The sequence below is a fragment of the Homo sapiens genome, chromosome 14, assembly GCF_000001405.40.
Source record: "Homo sapiens chromosome 14, GRCh38.p14 Primary Assembly".
Taxonomy (NCBI): domain Eukaryota; kingdom Metazoa; phylum Chordata; class Mammalia; order Primates; family Hominidae; genus Homo; species Homo sapiens.
In genome coordinates, this window is record NC_000014.9 from 92,028,903 (window position 1) to 92,039,162 (window position 10,260).

The 10,260-nt window shown below is 41.2% G+C and overlaps 1 protein-coding gene across 4 annotated transcripts in view; it reads right to left on the reverse strand.

Moving 5' to 3' along the window:
• TRIP11 (thyroid hormone receptor interactor 11) overlaps positions 1 to 10,260 on the reverse strand; it is a 74,069-nt gene that overhangs the window by 62,912 nt on the left and 897 nt on the right. For 3 of the 4 annotated variants that reach the window (XR_943560.3, XR_001750598.3, NM_004239.4), the window contains exon 2: positions 4,290 to 4,351. Coding sequence is in view for 2 of the 4 variants with exons in the window: in NM_004239.4 (NP_004230.2) it covers positions 4,290 to 4,351 (62 nt within the window). In the remaining 2 variants the exon portion in view is untranslated. The remainder of the gene's footprint in view (positions 1 to 4,289; positions 4,352 to 10,260) is intronic. The other variant, NM_001321851.1, reaches the window with a different exon arrangement.

The following is a 10,260-nucleotide window of genomic DNA, read 5'->3' on the forward strand; positions in this document are numbered from 1 at the left end:
TTTTTTAGGCAGTCCTAACTATTCGTAAAACTTGATATTTATGATTTTTATTCTTTCTGAGGGGTCTACCAACAAAGAGAAAATTTACCTATTTTCAAAAATAGAATAAAACATTCTATCTTACAATTACCATAGGGTACCGTGGATCTTTTTATAAATCTAAGAAAAATCATGGGAGCAAAATCAACTTGTATTTTCTGTATCTTAAAACATTTGGCTCTTTTACTATCATGGGAATTTTAAAAAATCATTTAAAAAATTATTCCCAACTATTTTAAAAATGACAATAACAAGAAAACGGAAAACTTATGAAATCACCTAGGAGAATGATGCAATGGTAAAATAACCAGTTTTCTGACTGCATTGCCCAAAGTATTATTTTTTTTTTTTTTTTTTTTTTTTTTTTTTTTTGAGATGGAGTCTCACTCTGTCACCCAGGCTGGAGTTTACTGGCACAATCTCGGCTCACTGCAACCTCTGCCTCCCAGGTTCAAGCAATTCTCCTGCCTCAGCCTCCTGAATAGCTGGGATTACAGGCACGTGCTACCACACCCGGCTAATTTTTGTATTTTTTGTAGAGATGGGGTTTCACCATGTCGGTCAGGCTGGTCTCGAACTCCTGACCTCATGATCCGCCCACTTCAGCCTCCCAAAGTTTACAGGCATGAGCCTGTAATCATGGATTACAGGCGTGAGCCACCATGCCTGGCCTATATCATCTTTTTAAAAGAAAACAGCTGTCTACAGACACCACTTTTTGTAGTTTTGTTTTTTCTCTTTCATCGAACACAGTTAAAAACTCAGAATTTTTAATTATTTGATGAAGAGAAGAAAACTGACAAAGGAAAACATTCACAATTATTAGACAACTTAGAAGATTAATGCAGAGACAGAAAGCAGCATCCTAGAGTCTAATGGTTATGGTGAAACTGACTGTAGAAGTGAAATCTTACACAAATCTTCAGATGGCAATATCCTGGAAGAATTTTCTAAAAGTCAAGAATTGATGAGTGGGCCGGGCGCGGTGGCTCACGCCTGTAATCCCAGCACTTTGGGAGGCCGAGGCGGGCGGATCACGAGGTCAGGAGATCGAGACCATCCCGGCTAAAACGGTGAAACCCCGTCTCTACTAAAAATACAAAATATTAGCCGGGCGTAGTGGCGGGCGCCTGTAGTCCCAGCTACTTGGGAGGCTGAGGCAGGAGAATGGCGTGAACCCGGGAGGCGGAGCTTGCAGTGAGCCTAGATCCCGCCACTGCACTCTGCACTCCAGCCTGGGCGACAGAGCGAGACTCCGTCTCAAAAAAAAAAAAAAAAAAAAAAGAATTGATGAGTGAATAATATATTTTTAAGAACAAAAAAGAAATATGGCTTTCAGATCAATTAGTCATTCAACAGGAAAATACTTCACTCTGCATTATTTTGTGACAAGGACTTAAACCATTTCATTTTGCTAAGCAGATACATGACAGTATTCTTTTTTTATTTTTATTTTTTATTTTTTTTGAGAGTCTCGCTCTTGTTGCCCAGGCTGGAGTGCAATGGTGGGATCTTGGCTCACCGCAACCTCTACCTCCCAGGTTCAAGTGATTCTCCTGCCTCAGCCTCCCAAGTAGCTGGGATTACAGGCATGTGCCACCACGCCCAGCGAATTTTGTATTTTTAGTAGAGACAGGGTTTCTCCATGTTGGTCAGGCTGGTCTCGAACTCAGGTGATCCACCCACCTCGGCCTCCCAAAGTGCTGGGATTACAGGCGTGAGCCACCATGCCTGGCCATGTGACAGTATTCTTTCATCATGTATATTTGTACACCAACATTTACTTGATATGTTCATATGTAGAAGGCTGAAAGCAGGTGTGTACACAAAGGCAACTGGGAGGAAACAGATGACACAGAAATGAAAAAAACTCAGTGGACTGATCATTCTAATTGGCATTTATAAATCTAAGAATAAACATGCTTTTGAAATTATAGAGCAAAGATGACAGCCATCATCTCTTCAATAAAATCATGAGCCATTAAAATTTTCAAAAGTATTGCTTTTAATGACACAATCAAGAACCAGGCTGGGCATGTGGCTCATGCCTGTAATCCCAGCACTTTCAGAGGCCAAGGTGGAAAGACTGCTTGAAGCCAGGAGTTTGAGACCAGCCTGGGCAACAGAGCAAGACATCGTCTCTACAAAAAATTTTATTTATTTATTTATTTTTTTATTTACTTACTTACTTACTTATTTATTGGAGATGGAGTCTTGCTTAGGCTGGAGTGCAATGGTACGATCTTGGCTCACTGCAACCTCCACATCCCGGGTTCAAGTGATTCTCCTGCCTCAGCCTCCCAAGTAGCTGGGATTACAGGCGCCCACCACCATATCCAGCTAATTTTTGTATTTTTAGTAGAGACAGGGTTTCACCATGTTGACCAAGCTGACCTCAAGTGATCTGCCCACCTCAGCCTCCCAAAGTGCTGGGATTACAGGCATGAGCCACCGTGCCTGGCCTATTACAAAAAAATCTTTAAAAATTAGCTGGGTGCGGTGTTGCATGCCTGTGGTACCAGCTACTCAAGAGGCTGAAGCAGAAGGATCACTTGAGCCCAGAAGTTCAAGGTTGCAGTGAGCTATGACTGTGCCACTGTATTCCAGCCTGGGCAAAAAAGCAAGACCATGTCTCAAAGCAACAACCACAACGAAAAGAACTAGAAGTAATAATAACCTGAAATCTATTAGAGAGGTAACTGAACTTTGGAATCAATATTTTACAAGATAAAGATATTCCAGGTTATACAATTAAGGGTTAAAAAGCAGTTCACTGAATTCAAAGAACATTGCTTATTTTGAGTCTTTATGCTTTCAAAACCAGAAAAAAATTAAATAAAAATTTGGATTTGCTGTATTTAAATTATTAAAATGTCTTTTTCTTTTTTTGATACAAGGTCTCACTCTGTTGCCCGGGCTGGAATACAGTGGCAGGATCACAGCTCACCGCAGCCTTGACTTCCTGGGCCCTAAGATCAGGTGATCCTCCCACCTCAGCCTCACAAGTAGCTGGGACTACAGACACCCACCACCACACCTTGACTAATTTTTTTATCTTTATTTTTTGTAACCGGTCTCAAACTCCTGGCCTCAAGCCATCCTCCCACCTCCACCTCCCAAAGCGCTGAGATTACAGGCATGAGCCACTGCGCCCAATCTAGACCCTAATAATGAATAAAACATTAAAATTAATTTGCTATTCCTGTATCCTTTTTTTCTTTTTTTGGATGGAGTTTTTCTCTGTCACTCAGGCTGGAATGCAATGGCGTGATCTCGGCTCAGTGCAACCTCCGCCTCCCAGTTTCCAGCAAGTCTCCTGCCTCAGCCTCCTGAGTAGCTGGGATTACAGGTGTGCACCACCACATCCAGCTAATTTTTTTGTATTTTTAGTTAGAGATGGGGTTTCACCATGTTGTCCAGGCTTGTCTCAAACTCCTGATCTCAAGTGATCCACCCACCTCGGCTTCCCAAAGTGCTCAGATTACAGACATGAGCCACTGTGCCTGGCTGCTATTCCTATATTCTTAACTTTTTTGTATCCAAATATTATTATCATTTTAGTGTTTAAAAAGCTCCAGGTTAAACAGAATTGCATTCTTAATATTATACTTAGCTGGGCGTGGTGGCTCACGCCTGTAATCCCAGCACTTTGGGAGGCTAAGGCGGGTGAATCACGAGGTCAGGAGTTTGAGACCAGCCTGGCCAATGTGGTGAAACCCTGTCTCTACTAAAAATACAAAAATTAGCTGGGTGTGGTAGCGTGCACCTGTAGTCCCAGCTACTCGGGGGGCTGAGGCAGAAGAATTGCTTGAACCCAGGAGGTGGAGGTTGTAGTGAGCCAAGATAGTGCCACTGCACTCCAGCCTGGGTGACAGAGTGAGACCCCGTTTCAAAAAAAAAAAAAAAAAATTATTCTTAAATAAATGTGCCACTGCAATTTAGTATGCTGTTAGAACACAGTAAACTCTGGATTATGATAAATTATTGATACTATTATTTCTACATTTGGCAGTTTTCCTACTTATACAGAAATAGAGATGGGAATATTAAAGAATAGCAAACTGCAGTAACAGGTAAATATATTTTTCATCTACAGAAGGTTGATAAAAGCTCAAAAAACAATCAAAATTAAACAAGAAGAGAAAAAAAGTGCTAAGCAGTACATTTAAAAAGAAAGGATCAAAGTAATGTTTGAGTAACCTTCATGACTTCAAAAAAGAAAAATCTAAGTAGTCTTTGATTTTTCTTACCTCTGATCTCAAGATTGCATGAATGGCTTCAATTTCCTTTGTCCTAGAATCAGGTAATTCTGCTACAAGAGAAATAACAAATATTGAATATTTAATCAATACCATATGAAGTAATAAATAGGTATTTTCAAGAAAATATATTTCACTGAGTTTACACAGAATAGTAGGCTGATATGAAAGCATTCAGAAGAAACAAATCGCTTTATTTCCATAACAACTTTTCACTGACACTAATGTTCTTCATTGTCATAAAAGTCATTCTTTTTGCCTATGCCCTGTATCTTAGGATGTCTACCTTTACCCCTTAGAAATGTTCATTAGAATTTTGTTGTGGGAAATTAAGCTTTAGAAATTAAAACTATTTCTCTGTGGGCTAATGCTGCTATAATTTTAGATGAAGCTTACTCAACTGGGGCTTTAGGCCTTATTTCTAACTGTAAGAATTAAAGAAAGAGGAGAGAAACACAAAGGGTGGCTTGCCAGTTAAGACAGGTTTATTTTAGAGAAAACAAACCTGAGAGGGGTGTTCGGCTGAGTTAGGTTAGAGGCACACTCTTTTCCAGACTAAGAGTTTTTAAGGATTTAGGGTGGGAGAATTTATTAGAGGCTTAGACTGCTTCTGTGTTTTTTTGTAGTGCTTATCTGGGAGGGAGAGTTGTGTATTTGTTCCATTTATTCTAGAGCTGCAGGCATACCCCCCGAGTCTGCTTTAGCTTCCCTATTTTAGTGCACCTGAAGGGAAAGGAATGTGCTTTCTAAGGCCCACTGCTTTACTGGGGCCCACTGTATGAGAGTGAAGTTTGGCAGTTACCCAAGAGACTTTACCCCCACCTCCCTTTGTGCCCGAGCACTCCCTCTGTATGTGTTTTACTGTCTGCTTTTTCTGGCTGCTTGTAGTTAGAAGAGAAGTGACTTCCTTGAAATGCATGAGGCTAGAAAGGGAGCTGGAGGTCAGGTACGGTGGCTCACCGCCTGTAATCCCAGCACTTTGGGAGGCCAAGGTGGGCGGATCACGTGAGATCGGGAGTTTGAGACCAGCCTGGCCAACAGGTAAAACCTCGTCTCTACTAAAAATACAAAAATTAGCCGGGTGTGGTGGCACACGCCTGTAATCCCAGCTACTCAGGAGGCTGAGGCAGGAGAATTGCTTGAACCTGGGAGGTGGAGGTTGCAGTGAGCCGACACTGTGCTACTGCACTCCAGCCTGGGTTACAGAGTGAGACTCTTGTCTCCAAAAAAAAAAAAGGAAAGGGAGCTGGAACTTAAAGTGGCACTGTTTGTCTGAGATAACAACAGTGCTCCTGCTCTGTCACTAACTTCTGCTCTCAATACTATCAAATAATAAGTGACCTATAAACGAAGAAAAATACACTGAGAACACTTATTTAAAGTAACATAGACACAATTTATTAAAAATGGGAATGAGCTCAGTCTGGTTTTCTACATTTTCATCTTTATTTTTTAATTTTCTTGGAAAGGGTCTCACTTCACTCTGCCACCTAGGCTGGAGTATAGTGGTGTGATCATGGCTCACTGTAGCCTCAAACTCTCTCGCTTCAGCCTTCCAAGTAGTTGGAACTACAGGCACATGCGACCACACCTACCTAATTTTTTTACTTTTTTGGAGAGATGAGGTTTCACTGTGTTGCCCAGGCAGGTCTCGAACTCCTAGCCTTAGGGAATCCTCCACACTCAGCCTCCCAAAGTGCTGGGATTACAAGTGTAAGTCACCATGCATGGCCCTTGGTTTTGTACATTTTCATTTAAAAGTAGAGTGAGAGCCCAGCAGTGTCAACATGGCACCACTAATGCTGTTAGAAAATCATCATCTGGCTGGTCTCGGTGGCTCATGCCTGTAATCCCAGCACTTTGGGAGGCCAAGGCAGGTGGATCACTTGAGGTCAGGAGTTCAAGACAACCCTGGCCAATATGGCAAAACTCCATCTCTACTAAAAATACAAAAAAAAAAAAACTGGCCAGTCATGGTGGTAGGTGCCTATAATCTGTAATCCCACCTACTTAGGAGGCTGAGGCAGGAGAAATTGCTTGAACTGGGGAGGCAGAAGCTGCAGTGAGCCAAGATCGTGCCACTGCACTCCAGCCTGGGCGACAGAGCAAGACTCGGTCTCAAAAAAAAGAAAAGAAAAGAAAATCATCATCCAGAGTTAGATTTTTTTTCTAAGTACTAGTATTTTTTTCATTACTCACAGCTCTTTAATATAAAAATAACTTATCTGGACTACAGTTTATTAGGAGTGTCCAATCTTTTGGCTTCCCTGGGCCATACTGGAAGAACTGTCTTGGGCCATACATAAAATACACTAACAATCGCTAATGAGCTTTAAAAAAAAAAAAATCGCAAAAAACCTCATTTTTTATTTATTTATTTATTTATTTTTTTTTTGAGACAGAGTCTCGCTCTGTCGCCCAGGCTGGAGTGTAGTGGCACAATCTCAGCTCGCTGCAACCTCTGCCTCCTGGGTTCAAGTGATTCTCCCACCTCAGCCTCCCCAGTAGCTGGGACTATAGGCCTGCGCCACCATGCCCGGCTAATTTTTGTATTTTTTAGTAAAGAGACGAGGTTTCACCATGTTGGCCAGGCTGGCCTTAAACTCTTGACCTCAGGTGATCCTGAGGCCCTCCTCAAAGTGCTCCCAAAGGGCTGGGATTACAGGTGTGAGCCACCGCGCCCAGCCAGAAAAACTCATAACATTTTAAGCACGTTTATGAATTTGTGTTGGGTCTCATTCAAAACCCATCCTGGGCCACATGTGGCCTGCAGACCACAGGTTGGACAAGCTTGGTTTAAATCAAAAGAAGCATGCAGTAATTACAGTGACAAACACTCTTGTTTAGAAAATCACCAGGTAGGGTTACATCTGTGGTTGGTTGTACATCTTGCTTGAAACTATGAAAGGACTGTTTAATTGCTACTCTGAAGAGGACAAGTTATAATCTAATTTGTTTAGGAAGGTAATTGTTAAAAGCAGCAACTATTTTAAAGAGGGATTTTACAAGTCCATGCAAACTCCACACCTCCCCCAACAAGAAAAACTTGGCCTTTTTAAGTACAAAGGGGAGATATTATGCAGACAAAAATATTCTGACTTTGTCAATAAGGGCAAATATGACATTTACCATTCATTAATGTTTACGATTCGGTAGACACAATTCCAGGCATTTTACACTCATGATTTCATTTAATCCTCTCAACCTCACAATAGGTATGATTATCCCTATTCAACATATAAGGAAACTGTGCTTTTGGAGGTTAATTTCTAATAATTTGCCAAAAATCCCACAACTTGTAATGCACAAAAGCAGAATTTCAACCCATGTCTCTCTGATTTAAAAGCCCAAGCTCCTAACCTTGAATAAATCAGTAGTGTTAGGTAAAACTGCAACCTTCTGATATTGTAAATATGGATGGCTTTCAAGTTGTCCACATAGTGCTATTTTGGAACTGTTTTATTTTTCATTACTGACACAGGGTAAACACTAATAAATACTTGTTCAATGAATAAAAGAACTGTACTCTGACCCTCCATTCCCTTTATTTTTTTAGACAGGGTCGTCTCTGTCACCCAGGCTGGAGTTCAGTGGTGCAATCGCAGCTCACTGGAGCCTTTAACTACTGGGCTCAAGCAAACCTCCCATTTCAGCCTCCCAAGTAGGTGAGACTACAGGCACATGCAGCCATGCCCAGCTAAAAACTTTTTGTAGAGATGAGATCTCCCTATGTTGCCCAGGCTAGTCCTCAACTCCTGGCTTTAAGCTATCCTCCCACTTTAGCCTCCCAAAATGCTGAGATTACAGGTATGAACCACACCTGGCCAGACCCCTATTTTTAAAAATTTACAAAATCAATAAATTAGGTGTTAAGCAAGTCCGATTGAAATACAAAGGGGAAAGAATAAAGGCATTAAGCAACTTTGCAGATTTCTAATCACGCACTTGTGCCATTTTTATTGAGCATCTACTATGTGCCAAAAGGAAGGTGTCACATATTTGGTAATATAAGGAGCAAAAAAATTCAGTCCTCACGCTGGGCATCAGGAAAACAGATAAATTATAACTCAACATGTTAAATGCTGTCAGGGAGAGATCCACAAAGTTCTGTTAGAACACAGATCACCAACATTCAACTCAACAACTCAACCTGTGTGGGAGTCAGAATGGTTCACCAAGTACTTAAGTACCTGACATATGAGCAGGGTTGTACAGGAGAATTGTTTTCTGGGTGAAGGAGGAAATAGAGAAGAAAGGGCTTTCCATGTAGAGGCTTGAAGTTGTGTAAGTGCCTGACAAAATCCCACACGACAGAAGCTGTGCGTACAAGCAAGCATATATATGTGCACATGTACAGCAACTGGTATGGCAACTAGAAAAGGTACATTGAAGGTCGGGTGCGGTGGCTCACGCCTGTAATCCCAGCACTCTGGGAGGCCAAGGCAGGAGGATCACCTGCGGTCTCAGGAGTTCGAGATCAGCCTGGCCAACATGGCGAAACCCCATCTCTACTAAAAATACAAAAATTAGCCAGGTGTGGTGGCACACGCCTGTAATCCCAGCTACTTGGGAGGCTGAGGCAGGAGAATTGCTTGAACCCGGGAGGCGAAGGTTGCAGCGAGCCGAGATCGCGCCACTGCATCCAGCCTACGCAACAGAGTGAGACTCAGTCCAAAACTAAGAGGTTTGGATTTTATTCTGTAACAGGGTCAAGAAATTTTTACGCAGGTTTGTTTTTAGAAAGTAACTGACAATACAATAGAAAATGGACTGGGGTAGGGAGAAATGGGTGACAGGACATGAAAGAGGAATAGTCCCTGGGAAAGATTATAGGGATCTAAAGAATAAGGAGTAATAAAGCAAAGGACAATTCTGGCATAGGATAAACAAGATATCATGACCAACTGGAAGTAGGAGATGAAAAAAGACATAAAACAAGGACACGAAGATTTACAGTTTAGGAAACTGAGAGTGAAGCTATTAAGAATGAGAAAACAGCACATTTGGCAGGAGAACAAAATGAACACCACCTTAAACCTGGAAGACATCCAGGTTGAGGGATGCATATTCTCTGGCTTAGGGTCTAAGGAACAGCCAACCGTTTTCCCCTATCTAGGATACAAGGAGCGACCAGTCATTTCCCATAGTTATCCAGCCCTTCTGTGCTTCTGACTGCCCTCAAGGTCCCATGCTTTCCCCCACACATAAAGAAGCCCTTTCATTTCTATCCCCAAAGCTGTCTCACTGATGCACCTTTATGGCATGGGGAACGTAAAGCGGTAAAATGGATTTCGGTAGCTCCCCAGTCTATTCTTCCTTCCATCTAAATAGACCCCACAGAAATTCAAAACATAAGCATTATCTTTCTATCAAACAATCTTTCCCGATTTCTACCAAATAAATATGAAGGATCTGTTAAATTAGCAATTAAAAAAAAAAACTAAGCCAGAATACTAATTTATTAAATTTATTTATAAGAAATACAATTGTCAAAGCAGCAGCTCTCACCCAAAAGAACAGCCCATTATCTCCCTGGAGCAGACTTAGATTGAAACTTAAAAACTGTTTTGATCCAAACATTGCTTACTAAAATGCCAAGAAATCAAAATAGTAATTAATGGATAGTAACTAATGTAGCCATTGATTACCATGTAACTCTGGGTCACTATTCATTAGTAAAACGAGATTGAGGACTTCAAAAATGAGTGAAGATTGCTAAGGGTACCTTAAGAATAGGGTTGTCTTCCCTATTCTACTGTCGAAATATGGGCGAAATGGGCGATTATACACAAAAATACATTCTCAGCTGGAACGCTATAATGTATCATCACAATAAGGAAAAGTAAAAAATAATTAAATAGAAAAACATGGCCGTGTTTCATAACATACTCAAGACAGAAAAGAGCAAAACTCACCAAGTGTTTAAATTATGAGTTATTTCAACTGTTACAAAAATAGAAAA